At 37.7% G+C, this 24,044-nt stretch overlaps 1 protein-coding gene across 4 annotated transcripts in view; it reads left to right on the top strand.

Annotated features, from left to right (window-relative positions):
- SLC9A9 (solute carrier family 9 member A9) overlaps positions 1-24,044 on the top strand; it is a 583,247-nt gene that overhangs the window by 469,396 nt on the left and 89,807 nt on the right. For 3 of the 4 annotated variants that reach the window (XM_017006203.2, NM_173653.4, XM_011512703.4), the window contains one exon: positions 15,510-15,589. In XM_017006203.2, the coding sequence (XP_016861692.1) occupies positions 15,510-15,589 (80 nt within the window). Of the gene's footprint in view, positions 1-15,509; positions 15,697-24,044 lie in introns of all 4 variants that reach the window. The other variant, XM_017006202.3, reaches the window with a different exon arrangement.

The raw sequence follows: 24,044 nt of genomic DNA, 5'->3' as shown, positions 1-24,044 counted from the left end.
ACTCTCAAAATCAAGAATAAACTATATATATATATTTAAAATTATATATATTAATATGTTTTTAAATTTCTTCTTTGTTCTCTGCTGTGGAAAGTAAAATAACTTTTGGGAATGTGAACTTGTAGCTGTGGCTAACTAGTAATGTCACAACTTTCCTTTTTGCCATACAATACCTTTAGAATGTGAATGGTGTTACACAATTATTTGTACCAGGCACAAAAGCTTTAGAGAGCATGTTCCATATGCAGATATCACACTCTGGATGCATACTTCATGCAAACGTGCTAATTTGAGAACTGGAAGATACTGCAGTTGTGAATTTTATGCCTCTTAAATGTGAAAAACAAAACCCTCAGGTAGCCTCCCACACAACAGGAAGTTTCCCTTGTAATTGATTCCTTGTACTTGAAAGCACACCTTTTCAGAGTAGGTGAGAGTCACTGGAGCACCACACTTGCCTTCAGTCCTTTAATAGAAAACTCCTGCTACTCAAGAAAGGCTGCCAGTATTGCTTCTCTTTTTCCCTTTTGCCATTTGATCGTACTCACTCCCATATTCGTTGGGCACTAGCTATTATTCTTAACACTGCTCTGAGCACCTTATATGCGTTTGCTCACTTAATTTCCAAGATAACCCTGAGTGGGTACTATAATTATCTGCATTTTACAAATAAGGAAATTGTACACAGAGACAAAACTTGCCCAAGAACACACAGAAGGGAGAGGTGGAATTTGAACCCAGACAGTTTGGTTCCAGAGCTTCCACTCTTAACTGGTATGCGTGCATGTATTCATTCATTTATTCATACAAGTAATTCTTGGTACCCACTCCTACGGCACTAACGTAGATGTGAGGATTCAGGAGTTACCAATTCAAAGCTCTCTTCCTCCCAGAGTATATACTCTATTGGGGGACACTGATAAGAAAAAGGTAAACTGCATTCTATACATTCAAAGCATGATCACAGTAAAGCAGGTCAGAGGATAGAGAACAGGCGAGGAGGCTACTTGGTCAGGGTAGAAGTGGCATTTGATCAGAGGCCAGATGATGTGTGGAGGAAACAATCCATGTGAGAAGGGGTTGAGGAGAGGTAGTCTGGCAGAGGCTACAGCAAGTATGGAGGCATTGGAGTCACAGTGGGTTATGGTGTGCACAAAAGCAGCAGGAAGGCCAGCATGGCTGGAGCTGAGTAAGCAAGGTGGGAGCGGATGGAGAAAAAGTGGGAGAAACAGACAGGGGCAGGGGCCAGACCATTGGCCATGGTGTTAGGTTTGAGTTTTTTTCTAATGTGATAGACACCCTTGATGGTTTGGTTTGGAGCTTGGAAGTAATAGAATTAGCCCATTAAAATAAATTTCTCCCCATTCCACCCTGCCAGCTGTTGTGATGAGGATAATTTTCATCTTTTTTCATACAATTTCATTTTCTAACACTATGCTTGTTACTTAATGGTTTCTCGACGTTACCTTCCAATTTTCTTTTGTTTCTGAAAGTCCCTTCATTGAAATTCTGGTTTTGGTTGTCCTTTATTCTTGTGTGTAACCTGGGTGGATCCGTTCTGGTCACTGCAGCACATGAAAGTCAGCAGAGCTGAGAAAGGTCTGAAGAAGGGCAACTTCAATAACTGACAGAGGGACCTGCTGCCAGAGCAGCAGGGATTAAAAGGATTAGGATTTTTCCATCAGAAAGACTAGAACTACGAAGGGGCACAACAAAGTATCTGTAAAAATATGAAAGGTGTAAAGCGAATGAAGACTTGTTTGCTAACTCCCAGAAAACCATAACCTGGAATACCTTTGAAGCCTGGAAGAGGCCATGGGTGAATAATAAAAGTATTTGTTCTTTTGCACAATTGATAGTTCTTATTCAGGGCCTTCCAGAGTTGCAAGAGTTGGAAATATAAGTAGGTTCAAGAAGGGAAGAGATTAATTTAGCAGATAGTGGGGTCATCATGGTCATTAAATAAAATTTTTCTTTGTGAATATTTTCAAATGTTCCTAATAAACACAAAGATAAGAGAATAATGAATCTTAACATACCCATCCCCCAAACTTAACAGTTATCAACATTTTTCCATACTTTCTGCATTTACTGCTCCTGTACTGTTGGAGTTAGTCTCATAGAGTGTAAATTTCACACTACACTTCTACGAATATTTCAGAAATAGAATACGAGTCTCAAAATTTGATGTGACCCAGGTGAGAGCTTTTGTAATGTTATGTCATTCCAATGTCATTGTAACTAATGGTATTTTGAGAAAAATAAAATAAACATTTCAGAGAAAATATCTTGGGTTTTCCCTTGGCCAACATTGAATTTATTTTGGTTATACTTACTTATGGCTTTTAGATTCAAAATTATGTCCTCCCCCTACTAACTTTTTACTGCATAGGACTAAATTCTAAATTCTATATTTTTATCTTACCGGTAGTTCCTGCAAGTACATGTTCTAGAAAGTAGGAATGATAATAAGGAAGAAGAAGTGGAAGGTGGCAGCTATACTTTAATAAGCATTTTTATATATTAAGTGATTAACAATTATATACCTATGTGTATATATACATAATCACATTTAATCTTTACCTTGACCAATCAAGATACCTATATCACTCCCATTTTACAAATGGTGAAATTGGAGTTCAAAGAATTAATTTTCCCAAGACAACAAACCAGTGATGGGCTGAGCCAGAACTAAAGGCCAAAGCCGTTTCATTCTCACCATTGCACCACATCCAATCTGTAAACGTGTTCTTTCTTCCCAGTAAGGATAGCCTGTCAGTTAACATTTGAGTAATCCTTTCCCTGTTAACTCCTGGCCAGCCTCATTTCCCAACCCTATCGAGAGTATCAAGCATATTCTCATTTCAAGAGGCTAGAGTATATTCCTCATCCTTGGAATCGTTCCCTTCACCCAAACCCAGTAAGCTGTGAGTATGGGCCCGTTGTCTAGGAGGTCTTTTCCTACTGCAGAGTGTGTCATCCTTCACTCACAGTGCAGCAGGCTCTACTGTCTCCCAGGAGGAGAGGGTCAACCTGCATCATTCTCTGCTTGTTACTTCCTCCCAGCAAGGGTTGAGTTGCCAGCCAGTCTTTAGCTCTTATTCATGCAGATGTCTAAAGGAAGACCATACTAGACAAGACAAGGGCCCTGAGGCAGGAACATGCCTACCTGTTTGAGAAATAGCAAAGGTGCAAGTATAGCTACAGTGAGCCACCAAGAATACTATAAGCTATGAGTCAGAGATATAGGCAGGATCAGTTATCTGTTGCCACACAATGCTGCATAACAAGCAAAATCTCAGAGGCGTGAACAATAAATACTTATCTCACAAGTCTGTGGGGTTCAGTTGTTCTATAGTGGACTTGTTCATATATCTAGGGTCAGCTACAATTTGCTAGATAACTGCTGATCTGAGCTAGGCTTGCTCATGTGTCTGGAGTTGGAGAGCTGTCAGCTGATCTAGGATAACCTTAATAGGGATGACTTAAGTGCCTTAGCTGTGCACCACATGATTCTCATCTCATCTGGGACCAGGGGGCTACCCTGAGTAGGTCTTTCTCCTGGCCATGACAGAGGGCAAGAATGTAAGCAAAAACAGGCAAGGTTTCTTGAGGCTGAGCATCAGAAGTGATACATTGGCATTGCTGCTACATTCTGTTGACCAGAGAAAATTACGAGGTCGTCCTAAAAAACAGGTGTATGAATAAATGACTCCTATTTGGTCAAAAGAACTGCAGATTTACATGGAAAAGGCCATAGATACAGGGTTGAAAAAATGGCACCTCTAATGCAATTAGTCTGCCATATAGGTCACATGAGCCAATGTAAACAGTTTGGACTTTATAGTAATCTGTACAATTTCAGACTTTTGAAATGTACTGATACTTATTTTATGGTTCCAATTGATATATCTTGGTGAATATTCCGTGTGTACTTGAATGTGTATTCTTGCAACTGTTTCAATACTATACCAAACAACTGCAGAATCCAGTTGGCATAGCTCAGTAAGTGTAAATTATGTCAACTTGTTTTTTTGTCTACTTATTTTATCAGTTACTGATAAAACCCCCAATTGAACAATTGAACTCATGGATCTAGAGAGTAGAAGGATGGTTAGAAGTGTCTAGGAAGAGTAGTAGGTGTTTGGGGCAGTGGGAAAGGTGGGGATGGTTAATGGGTACATAAAATAGAAAAGATGAATAAGACCTACTATTTGATAGCAAAATAAAGTGACTATAGTCAATAATAACTTAATTGTATATTTTAAAATAATTTAAAGTATGTAACTGGCTTGTGTGCAATTCAAAGGATAAATGTAAGAGGATGGATACCCCATTTTCCATAATGTGCTTATTTCACATTGCATGCCTGTATCAAAACATCTCATGTACCCCATAAATATATATACCTATTATGTGCCCACAAAAAAATTGTTTTGAAAAATAATTTAAAAATTTAACATAAAACCTCCAATTATAATTAGGAATTTTCCTGTTTCTTTATCTGTTAAATAGTGCTTAATATGCTTTTCACTGGATATAGAATTCTGGTTTGATGGTTGTCTTCTTTGAAAGTCAATGCTTTGAAAATCACATTCTGTTGTGTTCTGGCCTCCATGTTTTTTCTTTTTTTTTTTTTTTTTTTTTTTTGAGACAGAGTCTCGCTGTCTCCCAGGCTGGAGTACAGTGGTGCGATCTTGGCTCACTGCAAGCTCCGCCTCCCGGGTTCACGCCATTCTCCTGCCTCAGCCTCCCCAGTAGCTGGGACTACAGGCGCCCGCCACCACGCCCGGCTAATTTTTTATATTTTCAGTACAGACGGGGTTTCACCATGTTAGCCAGGATGGTCTCGATCTCCTGACCTCGTGATCCGCCCACCTCGGCCTCCCAAAGTGCTGGGATTAGAGGTGTGAGCCACCACACCCGGCCTCTGGCCTCCATTTTTTCTGATAAAAGTCATTTGAATTTTTTTTAATTTCCTGGAACATAATATGCTCTGTCTTTCCCTGGTTGCTTTAAAGATTTTTCTCTTATCTCTAGTTTTTTAGAAGTTTGATTCTTATATGCCTAGTTTTCTTAGAATTTATCCTAATTTGGGTTCACTGAATTTCTTGGAACTCTTGGTTGATATTTTTCATCAAATTCGGGAAATATTCAACTATTGCTTTTTGAAAAATGTTTGTTCTCCATGTTCCTACTGCCCTCTTTCTAGCCCTCCAATCTTATATACATTAGGCTACTTAATATTTTTTTCTCATATCACTTAGGTATTAGTCTATTTTAATCTTGTTTCTCTGTGTTTTACAAATTGCATAATTTTTATTGATCTCTTTTCAAGTTCACTGACACTTTCTTCTTAGTATCCAATCTGCCTTTAAGCTGATCTAGTAAATTTTTAATTCCAAATATTGTACTTCTTGGTTCCAGGAATTTTTAATGGCTATTTTTTTTTTTTTTTTTTTTTTTTACTATTTCAGTGGCTTTGGGGATACAATGGTTTTTGGTTACACGGATGAATTATATAGTGGTGAAGTCTGAGATTTTAGTGCACCCATCACTGGAGTGGTATACATGGTACCCAATGTGTAATTTTTTAATCCTTAGCTCCTTTCAACCTCCCTCTTCTAAGTCTCTCAATTTCATTATGTCACTCTGTATGCCTTTACACACCCATAGCTTAGCTTACATTTATAGGTAAGAACAAAAGTTATTTGGTTTACCATTCGTGAGTTATTTCATTTAGAATAATGGCCTCTCACTCAATCTGAGTTGCTGCAAAAGACATTATTTCATTCATTCTTATGGCTGAGAAATGTTCAGTGGTATATACATACCACATTTTCTTTAGCCACTCATTGGCCAGTGGGCACTTAGGTTGGTGCCGTATCTTTACAGTTGTGAATTGTATTGCAATAAATATACATGTGCAGGTGTCTTTTTGATATATTGACTTATTTTCCCTTGGGTAGATACCCAGTAGTGGAATTTACTAATGGTAAATCTACTTTTGGTTCTTTAAGAAATCTCCATACTGTTTTCCATAGAGATTGTACTAATTTACATTCCCATCAGTAGTGTGTAAGCATTCCCTTTTCATCACATTCAGGCCAATGACTATTGTTTTTTGACTTTTTAATAATGGCCATTCTTGCAGGAGTAAAGTAGTATCTCATTGTGGCTTTAATTTGCATTTCCCTGATGAATAGTAATGTTGAACATTTTTCCACATTTTTTTGCCATTTGTATTTCTTCTTTTGAAAAATGTCTATTCATGTCATTTGTCCACCTTTTGATGGGATTATTTGTTATTTTTCTTGATCCGTTTGAGTTCCTTATAGATTCTGGACACTAGTTTCTCGTCAGATGCATAGTTTGCAAATATTTTATCCCATTCTGTAGTTTGCTCTATTGATAATTTATTTTGCTACACGTAAGTTTATTAGATTAATTAGGCCCCATTTATTTTTGTTTTAGTTGCATTTGCTTTTGGGGTCTTAGTCATGAATTCTATGCCTAGATCAGTGTCCAGAAGAGTTTTTCCTAGGTTATCTTCTAGACTTTTTATGGTTTCAGGTCTTAGATTTATGTCTTTAATCCATCTTCAGTTTTTTTTTATAAGGTGAGAGAGAAAGAGGTTCACTTTCATTCTTCTACATGTGGCTATCCAATTTTCCCAGCACCATTTAGACCATTCCATTGGTCTATGTATCTACTTTTATACCAGTACCGTGCTGTTTTGGTAACTGTAGCCTTGGTAGTATAATTGGAAGTCCAGTAATGTGATACCTCCAGATTTGTTCTTTTTGCTTAGGATTGCTTTGACTATTCAGGCTCTTTTTGTTCCATATGAATTTTAGAATTGTTTTTTCTAATTCTGTGAAAAACGGTAGTTATTTTGATAGGAACTACATTGGATCTATAGACTGCTTTAGGCAGTATCATCACTTTCGTGATACTGATTCTTCTAATCCATAACCATGTGATATGTTTCCATTTATTTGGATCTATGATTTCTTTCAGCAGTGTTTTTGTAGTTCTACTCATAGAGATCTTTCACCTCCTTGGTTAAGTATATTCCTAGGTATTTTATCTTTCTTTGAAGCTGTTGTAAAAGGGATTGAGTTCTTGATTTGATTCTCAGCTTGGTCACTGTTGGTATACAGCAGTGCTACTGATTTGTGTACATTGATTTTGTAACCTGAGACTTTACTGAATTGCTTTATCAAATCCAGTTGTCTCTTGGAGGGATCTTTAGGGTTTTCTAGGTGTACAATCATATCCTCAGTGAACAGTTACAGCTGGACTTCTTCTTTTCCAATTTGGGTGCCCTTTATTTCCTTCCCTTGCCTGATTCTAGAATTTCCATTTTGTTCTTTTAATACAATTTACATCCTTCTGAAATATTCACTTGTGTTTTTATTGTCTCTTTGTCTTTAAATTCCCTACCATATTTTTTAGAGTATTTTAATTCCATTGCCTGTTAATTCCAGCATCTGAGTCATTTCAAGTTCTGTTTCTATAGGTTACCTTTCTTCTGGCTTCAGGTCATGCTTTCCTGCTTCCTCCCATGTCTAGCAGTTGTTATGATATGCTATGTCTTATGAATATTACATTGAATGGAGTGTGGAGTATTCTATAAAGTTTGCTGAATTTTATTCAGTCAAGCCATTAAAATCTTGTAAGCCTTAGTTCTATGCTTGCCTTCCTTGATACATTTTCATTTCATCCTCGGTTTTAGGGCATGGTCATTATTCTAGAACATTGTCCTTACTCATAAAACATGCTTTTTTTCTGAGGTCTCAATAGAATAGCTGACTTTTGGCTTTAGCTGGACCAAACTGCAGTGTTTCTTAGCACTATGTGATCTTAATCTCTCCATTTATTTCTCAATTTCACAAGAGTTTCTCCCTGTAAGCCTTTGTGAACCTCAACCTGTGCATGTACAGGTCAGTGTTCAACCAAGGACATAAGGGAAACATCTCCACAGACTTCTGGGTGTCCTCTCTGTGCAGTTTCCTCCTTTCTGTACACAGCCACTCCAGCGGTACCCTAACTCCCATCTGTAGCTCTTCAACTCAGTGAGACTGCTGTTCTCTGCTTGAACTTTATCTCCTTACCTTCAAGAGAATGACTTACAGGCAGCAAGTCAAGGAGAGTAGAGGGCTCACCTCATTTCTTCCCTTCTTTCAAGGATCACAGTCCTTTGCTGCCAGTTATCCAATGCCTGAATCCTATCATATGTTTATGATCCAGTTATTCTATCATGGCTAGCCATTGTGAAAGCGATGATGAAGTGGTTTTGTAGGGAGACACATTGTTTTCCTTTGTTTTTAGACACATACAAAATACTAAATAATGGAATCACAAATCTACACGTGAGACTCTTACCTTTACTATGGCAGTAGTGGTTCTGGGTTTTGTTATTAGCATGAACCAGGATCTTCTTGTTCCAGGAAAATTATTTGTTAGGGTGTGTGTGTGTGTGTGTGTGTGTGTGTGTGTGTGCGCGCACATGCATATACTTGTGTACATGTATATAAAAGAGTTATCACACCAACTGAATTATGATATGTGTCAGGCATTAGTTAAGAATACAATGAAGCAGGTACAGTGAGATGCTGTGAACTTCCTCCTCTCTCTAAGTTGGTCCATCATTTTTTGTCTTTGTATTTAATCTTCAATCTGTAAGATGGGTATATTTGACCCAGGATAGTTTTTGATATACTTTTAAGAGGGAACATATGTCTTCTATACCACAAATGTTACTTTTATGAAAACAGTTCATAAACTGTAAAGAGCTATGCAAATGTAGGCCTCAACATTTTATTATCTCTTTCCAAATCGTTATTTCAATACCTTTCACATCTGGAATTTATTATTCCAGTATATCATTGTATTAATTTTCTATTGCTGCATAAAAAATTATCCTAAAATATAGTGGCTTAAAACAACCCACATTTATTATCTCAAAGTTTCTATGGATCAGGAATTGGAAAGCAACTTAACTGAGTGTTTCTGATGCAAGGTCTTTCATGAGGTTGCAGTCAAGATGTCAGCTAAAGTTAGAATCATCTGAAGGCTGGACTGGGCCTAGAGGATTCGCTTCCATGTTGGCAGAAGGCCTCTGTTCCTTACTTGCCATTGGCAGGCATACTTAATTCCTTTCCACATGGATCTCTCCACAGAGCTTCTTGAGCGTCCTCACAACAGGGCAGCTGACTTTTCTCAGAGCACATGGTCCAAGAGAGACAGCAAAAAAGAAAGCCACAATGCCTTTTTATGACCTACTCTTGGATATGACACACCATCATTTCTGCTATATTCTATTTATGAAAAATGAGCCATTAAGTATGACCCACACCCAACAGGAAGAGAAATTAGGCCCCATCTTTTTTTTCCTTCAAAGAGATTTTTTTTTAATTTTAAAATTTTTAACTGGCACGTAATAATTGTACATACTTATAGGGTACAGAATGATAATTTGATACATGTATGCAATGTGTAATGATCAAGTCAAGGTAATTAGCATAGCCATTACCTCAAACATTTCTCATTTCTTTGTATTAGGAACATTTAAAATCCTCTCTTCTAGCTATTTGAAATTATGCAATGAATTACTGTTAACTATATTCACCCCACAGTGCTACAGAACACTAGAACTTATTCTTCCTATCTAGCTGTAATTTTGTACCTATTAACCTCTCTCTATCCTCCCCTCACAACTACCCTTCCCAGCCTCTGGTAACCACAATTCTACTTTCTACCTGCAGGTAAGTTCCATGTTTTAAAGGAAAAAATATCAAAGAATACATAGATATACACTTTAAGACCACCATAATTATCATATTATATTTTCCTGAACCAAATAATTTATTTATCTCTGGATTAACTTGGATCTACTATACAGACAAAGTTACCTGGACCAAGCCCTTTCTTTGTAGCTAAAGCATGAGCCAAGCCCATCTGGTAGTCTATCTGTGAGATCTCTGTGTCATCTTAACAGTTTTATCCATCTGTGTCTAGTTGTCTCAGTTTTTTTCTCTCTAGGCATGTATTTTCTGACTCTATCTTCCTGGTAATATTTATGAATTTAACTGGGCATTGGGAAGGTGAGAATATTTTTATAAACTGCTTTCTATGCAGAGGCTAAGAATTAATGATTCACCTTTTAAAATGTAAATTTGAAAAAAATATTTCTATTTGCCCCTTGAATTATATACTGTGTTCCCTCTTCAGAACCCAGAATTCTTTCTCTTTAGAAGCATGGAATCTGATCCTCTCCTTGGTAATTAGAAAGTCAAGGCAATGCATTTGAAATTGTTATACAAATATACTCCAATTTGGAAGGAGACAGTAGGGCAAACGTATTGATAGCAAATTCTATTCACAGGTACTACCTTAAAAAGTTCCTTGGAGCCCATAAAGAGCTCTGCAGATTTATTATGATAATTATTTGTCTTTGTTATCAGTTGATGCAACTTCCACTGACATTAATATTGAATATGAAATCTTGAGAAATAGAAAGGAAAATCCTCCCTCTCTCACTTAATCCACTGAATCCCCCTGAAATGAGGAGCAATCCCGTATGATTATCCCAAAGCAGAGTTCATCCAGTTCACTTAGCAAATTCCTCATATTTGAATATTGACAAAGGAATGTATTTACATTTGCCTAGTTCTTTTTCATCAAAGTTAATACAATAAACAATCCCTTCTTGCTTTGGTGTCTGTTTTTCACAGATTTCTTGCCAGAACCTTTTGTTTTCTCTCAGGGGTTCAAATAAGCACAAAACAGAGTACCATCATAATTTTTCTGTTGCTCCCTCTCTAGAGGGTGTTAAGTATTAGGGGATCACCTAAAAGAAAACTATCCACTGCCTGCTATTCTGTCACTTCCCAACCTCTGGTCTATTGCCTTATTTAAGGAGAAAAAGATATCAAATGGCCCATTTCTAAAAGTTTCGCAGAAAAACAGAGGATAATAAAAGAGCCAGAAAATCCCAATGTATCAAACATTCTGCTGCTTAGAGTATCTAGTTAAATAAAAGTTGAGATTCAACATGCTTGACTCACCAGTTCCCATTTATAGCTGTGAAACATGAGGCTCAGAGTTGGCATTATTAATAATAGTATTATTACTAAAATGTTGTAACTAAACTCAAATCTTGGTCTTCAGTTTCTGGCACCTATGCTTGTTCTAACATGCACACCACATCCCCTCTGGAATAAAGATCCTCGAAAGAGAAGAAATATTGCTAATGATAAGAAAAATACCATCAAGTTCCAGATTCAACTTGTGATGACTGCTCACATCTATTGTCCTTGAGGTGTGAGCTGATCTCTGCTTCAGAAGAATCCAGATAGATTGATGCTACCTGCTGTCCGCTGCCCATCTGGACCCTCCCGTGGGCTGGCTCTCTGTGCTGCCTCATCAGATACCTTCCCTGTTCCAGGGTGATTTCAAAGACCGGCCTTCCCTTAGCACATTTATCTTCAACCCTCAGTGCACAAGCAGAGCACACACTAGACTAATTCATTTATTTCTACTCATTTATTGATGGCCTTTCATAACCAAGTTATTAAGTCATCAGTAACTTCAGAGAAATAAACGAATGGATCCAGAACTGGGCCAAAAGATATTTAAGACATATTCTGAACATCTTATCTAGGATTGGTGTAAATGTCAATGCTGAGTCATCAGTGGTATTTTCCCCACCTGGGAAAACATATTTCACAGATGTTTTATTCTAATTAGATCCAAGTTTATTCCTCACAAAGTATTGAAATGAATAACATCTCCAGTCACCCACATGAAATGAAGTTTTTTAGAAAGAGATTGCATGTGTTAATATTTTTCCAAAATACTACCTAATGTATGTTGCTCCCATCAGCTGACCATAAATATCCCTGGAAGGTTTGCCAAGAATAGAGTATAAGCTCTTTCAGAAGTGCATATGAGTTCTGATATATTCCCCTTGGGAAATAAAAAGGAGAAAAAGAGAGGATTTCTAAGACCTTGGGAAACGCTTGAAACCAGTATCTAGAAGTCTAAAGAAATTCCTAAAACACTAAAGTTTCTATGGGGACATTTTCAAAGCCATTGGCAGTTCACCCAGCTAAGGGGAGCTCTAAATTTTCATTATGTTTTGGGGTATGTATACCTGCTGTATCTCAGCCTGCAGGAGGAGCATTCCATTGCTCTAACTTCCCCTTTTGCACTAGTTTGCTCTCCACTTGTATCCTGGGGCCCCATCTAGATAAGAGGAATCTTGCCTGCTTAGGGGCCTCAGTATTCTTGAAAACCTATATGTATCCCAGTGCATCAGTTTCCTCATCTGTAAAATAGGAATAATAATAGACCACACTTCATCAAATAATTATAAGAATCTGAAGTGTTAATATATGAAAAGTACTTAGAATAGTGTCTGGCATATGGCAAGTGTTCAAGTATAGCTATTACTGTTGTCATTAATAAAAAGTCTTTTCCATATGATTAGGACCTAAGAGACCAGCCAGTCCAATTTCCTCAATTCATTTTACAGACAAGGAAACTGCAGCCCAATGAAGTTACGTAGTCTATTAATAGAATGTCTGTGCTTTTGAATTAAAGGCTGAATTAGATACTTGCAGAAAAACATTCTCTTTGGAGTCTGGCAGTCCTAGACTAAAATTCCAATTGTTACCTTCTAGTGGTGTGACTTTGAACTCACTTCTTTCCTTCTCTAGGACTCTCTAAAATCCCTATGTGCAAAATAGGTACAATGCAACCTACCTTGATAGAGTGAGAATTGAAAAAATAATGACTGAAAAAATTAATGGCTGGATAATGTGACTAGCATTCTGCCTGGGAGTTAATGGGCATTCAATAGCTTGGGACCATCATTATTGGGAACATCATTCAGCTGCAGTGCTGCAGACTGGCTGCCAGAATCCCGGCCCCTGATTGCCAGTATAGCTCACCACAACACTGCCCACCCTTACATTAAAAACAAACAAAAATTGGGAATTTGCTCTCATTCCTTTTTATCAGCTTTTTAAATGACTTTCTAGTCATCAGTAGATATTATCCACTATCAAAAATTACCTATGATTGTTGATGGATAAAAATCCACGTATCCTTATTCTTAAAGGAAAGGGTGGGAAAAAAGGAAAGTTCCAACCCTTGGCCCCAAGCTTTTCATAACTAGTTTAGCTCAACATGAGCAGTTTTGCTTTGCCAGATGAACCCCAATATGCTGTTGACAAACAGTGGCTCAGAAACAGTTTGCAGATGTTTGAGGATGATGAAGAAAACACTGTGTGCAACAGTCATTTTGCAAATCTGATACCTTTGCTGGGGTAGAAATGCTTTGAGAAAGGTATAGGGAAGGATAGAAATTGAACCAGACACCCTGGTTTCCTTTCTTGAGGAAATATGCATAAATTCTGACTATAGATAACAAGGCATGGCACTCCGGCCCTATCAGAAAACAGAGACCTGTGGAACTCTAATGTCCAGGAAAAGATCATCAGTGTCCCACAGTAGGGACTGGGAATGGGAATGAATTCCATGGCCAAGTAACTTTGAGACACACTTTCTGTTGAAGATTTGCAATGCTCATTTATAAATGAAAGACTGAGAAGTTCTACATTTTCCTTTCTTTTTTAACTTTTATTTTAGGTTCAAGTATACATGTGCAGGTTTGTTATATAGGTAAACTTGTGTCACAGGGGTTTGTGATATAGATTGTTTCATCTCCCAGATACTAAGTCTAGTACCAATAGTTATTTTTTCTGGCCTCTCCCTCCTTCCACCCTCAGGTAGGCCCCAGTGTATATTGTTTCCATCTTTGTGTCCATGTGTTCTCATCATTTAGCTTCCACTTATAAGTAAGAACATGTGGTATTTGGTTTTCTCTTCCTGCATTAGTTTAATAAGGATAATAGCCTCCAGCTCCATCCATGTTCCTGCAAAAGACATAATCTCATTCCTTTTTATGAGTGCATATTATTCCAGGGTATATATGTACCACATTTTCTTTATCCTGTCTACCATTGATGGGCATTTAGGTTAATTCTGTGTCTTTGCTATTGTAAATAGTGCTGCAATGAATGAGAAGTCCTCCATTTAAGAAACCTATTTAACACTGTAGACCCCATCCTTTCCTGAATGATTAGCACAGAATTTCCATCAACATCAAATGAACAGTGATTCTCTAGGGGACACTGTTTGGAAAAATGCAAGACTTGAAAAATCAGAGATCTTAAGACAATCAATGAAAAAGACAAAAGTTTGGGTTTTAATTTCATTGTGAGTCTCTGCTTCAGCCATTTTAAACAAAGGATAAATGGCTGACTAAAAGTGAAGCACACTTTGCTTTCTTGTAGTTCCATTTCATTTGCGGGGGATAGAACGGAAGCATCTACTGGTACACATACGTTTCATGGGTAGAACACAGCCTTTTGTGTCCAGCTATTTATCATTAACCAATGATGGAACTGGCTAGAAAAGGACAAAAAAAATAAAAGCAAATCAATATGAGCTCATCTAAGGGCTGGCTGTGGAGCATCCAGTAGACTTTCATTGTCTTCCGTGGGTCATTACATCCTCAGAAGACTATTCATATTACTACCAGACTGCAACTCATGACACAACTTGGGCATGAAAACTGGGGGTCCAGACATAGCAACAAAGCCCACATTAAGAGATATAAATGCTTTTAATGATAAGGATAATTACAACTGATTGAAATTCCCTTAACACACAAAATGGAATACAGTAAAAACGCCACTGGATACCCTCCTTACATTTTATTATCTGTCTCTAAAGCTCACAAAAAAAAATTCACTTTCTTTCCTTTTTTTTTTTCACATTTCATCCTCTTCTCTCACAAAAACACCCATCAAACACTTTCTCTTCCTCTTTTGTCTTTAATTCCTTATCATCCTCTCACCCTTTATGGCCCTTGTGGGAAAGAAAAAAAGAGGTAGACAAGCACATTCAATTGTTGCAATCTTCTTATCAGGAATATCTATTTCAAAACTCTTCATAATCTAGGCAGAAATATATCAAAAATCAACCAATAGCCTTTGGTAATAATCTATCAAACAAAATGAATAAAATATAGCATAACACTTATTAGACTATTATCCTCACTTTAGCCTTGACCTTTTGGTAATCCATAAATAAATATCATCCAAATTTGACAGAAATAAACTGTAAAATTCCCACAACAGCACTATGGCAGAAATGTCATTTTTATTGATGTCAAAATAGCATTTCTTAGCTATTTAATAAAATTGGGATTATTAAGAAAAGTAAATGTTGAAATACTCCAAAAGGGTCTCATCCACATAGCAAGATTTATGAGCTAATTTGCCTGGAAACTGCTTCACCATTTAGATGAAAATGCCTATACTTAGAAAGGTTTTTTTTAAATGTAGTTAAATTTAACTTGGTTTGACATGTATTTTTATATTAAAATCTTTTTGACTATTTACCCAATGCCTTTTTCTATTGTTTCTCCCCAGGAAGCAAATAACTTGGATAAAAACATGACGAAAGCAGAGAGTGCTCGGCTCTTCAGAATGTGGTATAGCTTTGACCACAAGTATCCTTTGATAATAACGATCTCACAGATCCTGCTGCAGGCAGAGAATTACTTTAAGCTCTTAATCATTGAAGTGTGCACTCCTGCTCTTCAAGAAACACCAAAAGGTAAAGTGAATTCACAGCCAAACTTATAAAAAGGAATGATTTCATAAAATAAAAAGCAGGGTAGTCCATACTTAAGTGTTTCAGAGAGCTAAAGTGAAACTTCTCAGAGTCAAATTTATCTAAGGTTTTCCTGACAATAATGCCAGTTGATAAAATCATATAGTCCTGAAGAAGCTGTTTTGCTGTTCTCCCTTTGTAAAGCTCTTACTTCTGGTCAAATAGGCCTGCTTGATTGAGGGCATTGTATGAACAGTCTCAGCAGCCTCTGGCCAGGGTAACCCAGCCAAAGCTCCTGCACCCTTCTCCCAGGAACCCATTTGTGTGTTTTTGTTTCATGCTGTAAAAAATGAAGGGGTGGGGACAGGGAACAAAAATAAATGGGCCAAGGAGATGAGTCCAGTTCATCAGAGTTCATCATAAAATAGCACTGCTTTGTTTTCCAGGCAGACTTGAATAAGCTTTTTCCAGTGAAGGGCAATTTTAAAAATCTAGCAATCACTGTAAACATAGTAGCTCAGATATACCTTGCCATGTGATTCGTGGGGCTAAGTCAGGTCTGAAGTGTTTTGCCATTGTGAGCTGCAGTAAGCCATCCATCTCTAATCCCAGGCAAAAGCTCCAAGGAAGAAAGGAAAGAACGGCACTGTAAATTGAATGTGTTGGGTCTTTGTAGCTAGTTTTCCAGTCACAAATCCCTCTCCTTTCAGTGAGAAAGTGTCAGTCAGTGGATGATTTTCAGTGCCTAAGCAAAAATGATTAAAGCCACAACAGATCAGTGGGAGAGGAGGAAGAATTAAGAATAGGGAAAGGAAATTCAAAGAATAGGTGAAGAAAAAGAGGTAAAAATGGACAGGGGAGGGGAGGCAAGAGAAATGCAGGAAGGAAAGGAAAGCAAATTAGAGGAATGACTGGAAAATAGAAAGCAAAAATTAAGAGAGAAGTGAAGAGAAACCAATTGAAGATTGCAGAGATAAGCAAAAGTAAAACAATGTGACAATTAAAAAGCAATTTTGCAAAAGTAGAGCATTCCAAGAATTATGAAATGGTGATGTGGAAGATAGAGGGTTTTTGAGGTTAGAGTTTTGTTTTTTCATAGCTCTGTTATCTATAGCCAGATATCCTTTCTTGCTCAGTCTTCAGTTTTATGGACAAATGGAGGTTACCACCATCTTGAGAGAAGTCCATCTTGGCCATTAATTATTTCTTAAAGGTTCTGGTATCTCAGTAACTACATGAAGACTTTCTGGTCTCTCTAAGGGAAGCTCGTTCTTAGAAAGTTATTGCTGGTTTTTGCTCCTGGTTGATCTCTCTTTGGAAGCAGAATTTGCCCCTGCCATTGCTTATAAGTATCTGATAACTCAGTTTGTTCAAAATTATAAAAATTTGACTAAAGAGTAAACACAATGAGATGTACAGAAAGAACACGGTAAATCAGAAATGAGATAAAAAGATGTTTTTGTTCAAATTCTGACAATGCTATGAGGAAAGCTTTACAATGAAGAAAAGGAATAAAGTGAAAAAAAACTTGAAGACAAGAAAATAAAAGTGGAAGTCCATCAAAATTTTTAGCTTAAGGCAGTGACACTAAATTCAGATGATGTCATAGTTTTTGTCTCACTTTCATCAGGGGTTTATTTCCATATGATTATAGATAGACTAGCAAAAATAAAAGCAGATTTACACTCTCAGTCATATCTCTTCTCATGGTAATTTATCCTCCTGCACATTCATTCTAGAAATTGCTATGCTGCCGTCACTACACAAATATATATTGACTTAGACAATGAAGTTTTTGTATCTTAGCTATGCTCTGAATTTATACCTAGAGAGTAGCAAGCAAACAGTTTCAACTATGTGGCCTCTTAATATATCTGTTATTTTAGAGCAAATTATCCATTTGGCATTTATGTTCATTCTATTGTCCACCCAGAACCCAGGCAATGTGTCCTGTGAACTTCATAAGTTAGGCTATGCCAGCCACCACCAGTGTAGAGATTAGCCCCTCATCCTGAGATCAGGTTGCTGGCCTGGACCAAAAAGAAATTGTCACAAGGCTGAAAGAAATTGGCTATGTAGTTTGGAGCTGTTAGTTTCATTTCAGTAAAATTGCATCATGAAAATGAGGTATCACAAATAATTAGACAAAAGAAAAAGAAGAATATATAACTTCATACACACCTATATCAGTCAGGGTTCTCCAAATAAATAGAATCAGCAGAAGTACTTTACATATCATATACATATAGATTTATTTCAAGGAATTGGTTTATGCAGTTGTGGGGGCTGGCAAGTCCAAAATTTGCAGAGCAGGCTCTCTGTCTGGAAATTCAGGCAAGAGCTAATACTGCAGTCCTTAGGCAGAATTCTTTCTTCCTCAGAAAAGCCTAAGTTTTGCTGTTAAGTCCATGCAACTGATTGCATGAGGCCCACACACCGTATTGAGGATAAACTCCTTTGCTTAGTGTCAATCGCAGATATTAACCACATCTACAAAATACCTTAGATGTCAACAATGACACCTAAGTTAAGGTTTAAATGAATAACTGAGTAGTCTAGCCAGATTGACCCATAAAACTAATAATCACATCACTGAATTTATATTCAATTAATGCCTAATATTCAGACTCAAAGATAGAAAACCCCTCTTAATTTACCATTGTTATCAATAAAACCAGTCACTCACATAGTTTTGTTTTTTCTTTTTCATAGCATAAGTAGTACATACATACCTTTCCCTAAAAGTTTTCCAAAAACTACAGAATAAAAATTATAAAACTTAACATTCAATGAGGATGAATAATGCCAAGCACTGTGTTCAGTGCTTTACATTTATTACTTCATTCCACCTCCCCAGCTCTGTAGGAGGCTGGGAGGGTCTAGAGATATAACAACACAAGTGTACTACTGATTGGGTTGGCCTCTGCTGCAACAGCGGCTCCCCTGTTGGAAAGAAGCCTATGATGCCAAAACTGATGATTAATTAAGGTTCATTATGATTCAACGTGGGCAGCAATTCCAAATTATGGAGTACAAAGAAGAAATTGAGAAATGCAGAGATGAGAAATGGAACTAATGTTACTGAGCAGGGAGGAATGTTATTTCATTTAATTCTCTTCATTTAACTACTCTTTTTGTTTTATTTAATTCTTACAACCACCCTCTTTGATGTGGAGGAAACAAATTCCCAGATAACTTAAATAACTTTGTTTCCATAGCTAGTAAGTGTCAATTTCATGATTCAAGCCCAGATTAGTCTGACCCTAAAGTCCATCAAGATACCTAAACAAACTTGATTATTAACATTCCTATGTCCATGATATCTCTTACTCTACCTGTAAATCCTCATGTCTCAGTATGTTCACAAAGTCACCATTCAAACAATGAATAATTAGGACTCCTTACATGATACAGTCCAGAGCTCACATCTTGAACATTTATTGGTACTATATCGGTGTGATAACAAGGTTACAGGTTTTTGTTGGTCACACAGAAAGCACCACCATGAAGGAATCCCCGACTTCTGAATCAGATCCTCAACTCTTTAGGGGCAGAAAGTTAAATATTCAGAGACACCAGGAGTGGTTCAGTCTAATAGGAGGTGGACTCACTGTAGCCAAGCTCAAAGGAGGCAGAAGTACAAACCAGACACCAAATTCCTAAATTGCCATATCCCCATTGTGGAGTGGGAGGTATGGGCAGGGGGAGATACTCTTCAGCCATAAGAAGGCTCAAGTCACAGTCTGGTCCGTAGAGCCCCTCCTATCCTACTCTTTCCCCTCGGCTCACTCTGCTCCAGCTACCCTGTCCTTCCTCAGGCACCCCAAGCACCCTTCTGCACCCAGGCCCTTGCACTGGCTCTTCTCTCAGGCATTTGCTTGCTTCCTTCCTTTACCTCTTTCATTCAACTCATCAGTGAGACCTCCCTGGCGCTATATCTAAATGTCTAAAAGGAGCTAACTCTCTCACTCCTTCCTGCTTTATTTTTTTCACCATAACGCTTAACCACCACCCGACACAGAATGGACTTTGTTTTAATAGTTCCCTCCAACCAGGATATGTGCCTTCCATAGACAGAAATTGGGTCTGTTTTCATTCCCTGGTATGTCCTCAGGGCATAGAACAATGCCTGGCAGGGAGTGGACACTCAATAAATATTTGTTGAAGGAATGAATGAATCAATTAAGCAAGCAAGCAATATTTTCTATCCAGGGCACCTTCATTTCAGGCATTGATGTAGCAGGAAAATCCAATTAATTATCAGAAGGCTGCTAAGTGAGTCTGAAAGCAGAGCAAGACAGAGTGGATAATATTAATGTTTTCATCCAGGCTACCCTGTGTAGACAGCCAGCCTGAGTGTCTCACTCCCTAGACAGGAACAGCCACTCACAGCAGACTTAAATCCCTATTGCTTGAGCTGACCTCCTTCCTGTGGTTGGTCCATCCTTTGTTAGGTTTTATTAGTACAACGATCTGGCACATTCAAGCCTGACTCTGGCTTAGAAGCCATTCTCTGTCTGAGTGACATTGAATACATATGTCTTATCTCACCAATCATGTTGATTTTATTAGTAACAAACTCAAAATTGTAAAGCCACCTATCATCCTCACTAGCAATCTCTCATAATGAGGAAGTAAGAAGAAGAAATTGATGCCCCCTTATTCATATTTTAAGACATCAGATAAAATTATTTGCATGGATTTGCAGTGTTACAGCTGGTATGAGAATCTCATGTTGCCTTATTCATAGGTGACTAATGATGTTGCTTGACTGTCTCCTTTCTAGAGTCTCTTTCCATTCTCTCATTTACCATCTCTCCCCTTAAACGTGTGTATAAATTAGCCCCATAAATGTGAATGACACAGGATAAGAATGACCTTTCCAAAATAAAAAGGGCAGCCTAACATCATTTTTAGCACTTCCTGTATGCCAACATCAACTGAAAATAAGGACTTATTATATGGTTGCCAACATTTTATAAGTGTAAAGAAAGTGCAAAGAACAATGGATTGGCAAGTTGACACAGTAACAGAATTACATAAAGCCACGTGGATGGAGATTTCCTTCCCATAACTGGTTGGAATGAAGAGTGCACTGAGGTATTGCCAACAAAATGAAAAGCCCACAGCAGGATGTGTGGATGCTGAAAATGCTTGCATTTCCCATTCTTAAGAGTCTGGCAAGGAAAGTGGCAGGTACCAGACCCCATCTTGTACAGGCTAAGGCAGACTGGGAATCCACTTCAGGAAATGTAAACATAAATATCAGGGGCATTCAAAATGATACTTGGAAACCACGTATTTAATAGATTTAAATGAAATGGCATTTTAGTCTTAACTAAAAAAAAAAAAAAGGAAAGAAAAACCTTCCCCTCCTAAAACTTGACAGAATTTTTTTATATCCCACACAGTCATGCTTATTTTAAGTCATAGGTATGAATATTGTGAACAGCAATTTCCATTTTAAATGATGATCCTGTACTGCGGTTTTTCCCTATCCTGACTGGCTGAAACACCCATGAATCATTTATTGGGGTAGTTCGCTGTGGCCTTGTGATTGACTTGAGTTTACTTCACAAAAAACTCTCACAGGAACAAAGAGTGTTAGTTCTGTGATCCCAGTTTTATAAATGAGGCAACTGAGCCCAAGAGAGGAAAAAGGCACATCCAAGGTTACTGATGGACTTGGAGCCAGCATTCGTAATCAACAGTAGAACAGGCTGTGTCACCTAAGCAATCCAAGGACCCCAGTTCAGGTGGCCCATCTGGTGAGTTCTGGTAGCTTTAACATAAGTGTGATGCCATTTTCATAAGTGTTTCTAGTGTATAATTGGTTGTTTTAGTCTGATAGCTTCTTTGGTGGTTCAGCAAAAGCCTCACCTGTCTAAAGGAGAGGTATGTTTTACTTTCAGTAGCAAGCAGGAGAGATAGCAAAGGATGTGTAATCTTTTGTTCAATGGATACTTTATTGATTACCCACTATGTGGAGGCAATATACTAGGTACTGAGGGTAGGCATGGTTGACCCTCACAAAGTCTTGCTTTGTACCTCATGGTCGCGAAGTCCTTTGAAATCACAGGTGGTCCCTAGCATAGGAAAGGAAGACATTGGCATCATCAGAATTTCATGGGGGGATGAACTCTTCAGGAGAGCCACAAACTAAAATCATTGGTAGCTCTCACTTGCAAAATGTAAAGATAACTCCACAAGTAGTTTCAGAAAGCAACAAAATTTCAAAATATTTGAAGTAAACATAAGCAATCAGCTTCCTAAAGGCTCTCCCTAAACACATTCTCTAATGGCATCCGCACATAAATATGCACATGGCATTATAACTGCTTCTCCTGGGAAGCTGGCTGTAGGGAGGAGCCCAGCTTGCATTGGGCTGCAATGCAGCCATCACTCCCATCCCCTGGTTAATAACACCTAGAATACTATTATTATTTTGGGGTATTTAGGTTGGCTTTTGGTCATCCATATCCTTACAGGTGCTGCTGTAGACAAATCCCATAGAAAGTCTTTGACTTAGCACCTAAGTGAAGTGGAATTAAAGCTTCCTGAAAGAGGCTGGGTTCAGTGGCTTAACCCTGTAATCCCAGCACCTTAGGGGGTGGAAGCGGGAGTATCAGTTGAGCCCAAGAGTTTGAGACCACCCTGGGCAACATAGCAAGACCCCACCTCTACAAAAAAAGTTAACTGAGCATGGTAGCATGCACCTGTAGTCCTACCAACTAGGAAGGCTGAGGCAGGAGGATCACTTGAGCCCAGGAGTTCAAGGCTGCAATGAGCTATGATTTTGCCACTGCCTTCCAGCTTGGGCAACAAAGTGAGATCCTATCTCTTAAAAAATCCTGGGAGAAAACATCAGCTTCTTCCTGGACTCCTGTGTTCTTGTGACTTTTGGGTAGGAATCAACACAGGGGAATTTTAACAGTATCTAGAAACATGTGCAGTCTTTTGTTCAGGTAACAACTTGGATCTTCCATAATTTCTTCTTCCACATAATAGGAATGATACATACTATCCTCTGTTTTGGCTGAATCCATCAGTAAAGTTGGCTAGTTATTAAAACAGCTTCCTACTGATGGCAACTGATTCACTGGCCTCTCAGAACCAACACATTTAAAACAGTTAAATAGTGCAATTTTCTCAAGACCCTATGGCCTAAATACACTGCAATATTCTGTAGTTGGTATAAAACTCTTCTGGAGACCTGACAAGTGACTACACGTATGACTTTATGAATTGTTACCTAGGCACAATGGATTCCCCACTATGATTATAAAATATTGTGGATCCCAAGATGGTAACTGATTTTTGCACAATGATCCTGGGATTCTACATAAGCTTTGGTATCTCTGCTTTGTTTTGCTTTTTTCCCTGGAAAAGTTTTAATAATATTTCTATTAAATGAAAATGCTTTCATATTTCAACTTCACTTTAAACGAATGATATGAAGATCTAGATTTACACAAATAAGAAATCAGAAGGTCACTTCTCCCCTTGTAGAGTGGATAAAATAAATTCCTTTAAATCAAATTCAATACATTTATTATTTTCTCAGTGCAAAGCACCACATTAGACTTTCCTCATCAATTTATTCACTCGCTTATCACGTTTATCAAGTCTACCACATGCCAGGCACCATCCTGGGCACTTGCGATGCACCTGTAAAGAAATTCCCACAGAGCTGTCATTCCAATACAGTTCTGTTTTTAAACTTCTGATTTATGGAGAGCTTTTCAGGAACACATCTATGGTATAAAGAAACACACAGACATTCCACTGTTGGTTTTTATCAAACGGAAGCAAGTCTTGGTCTGTGGCCAGAAGCTATTGATTTGCTATTATAGCCTATCTACTTACTAGTTATGTAATTTTAGGAAAGTTATTTAACCATTCTGTGTCTCCATCGCTCATCTGAAAAATGGGGATAATGGAAGTCCCTACCTCATAGCTTTGTTTTGATAATTAAATGAATTAACACAAAACACTTAGAACAGTGCTCATTACATGTATTATTATTATTTATACCTACTGATAGCCACATGTCTTAAAGACAGGCATCATGTAATGTGTATAATATTGTCATTTATTATCTGAGTGACTAAAATTTCCATTATTTTATATACTTGTAATAATTTTTAGTTGCAACAGCTGTATTTTAATACCATTTCAAAGTCTTTAGTTTCCATAAAGGAAAGGTTTCACTTGGGCTATAAATCAGACATAATTCTTCTTCTTTGATTTTGAGTAAATGGATGGAGCTGGGTGTTAAGCTGTTCTTTTGTGTCCTCTGTTCTGCACATGCAGTTGTTTCACTTATGACTTTTCTAACTTATAGTCCATCA

This window comes from Homo sapiens, chromosome 3, assembly GCF_000001405.40.
Source record: "Homo sapiens chromosome 3, GRCh38.p14 Primary Assembly".
Classification (NCBI taxonomy): Eukaryota; Metazoa; Chordata; class Mammalia; order Primates; family Hominidae; genus Homo; species Homo sapiens.
The sequence above is the reverse complement of the archived record's forward strand: the minus strand, read 5'-3'. Positions and strand labels throughout refer to the sequence as shown.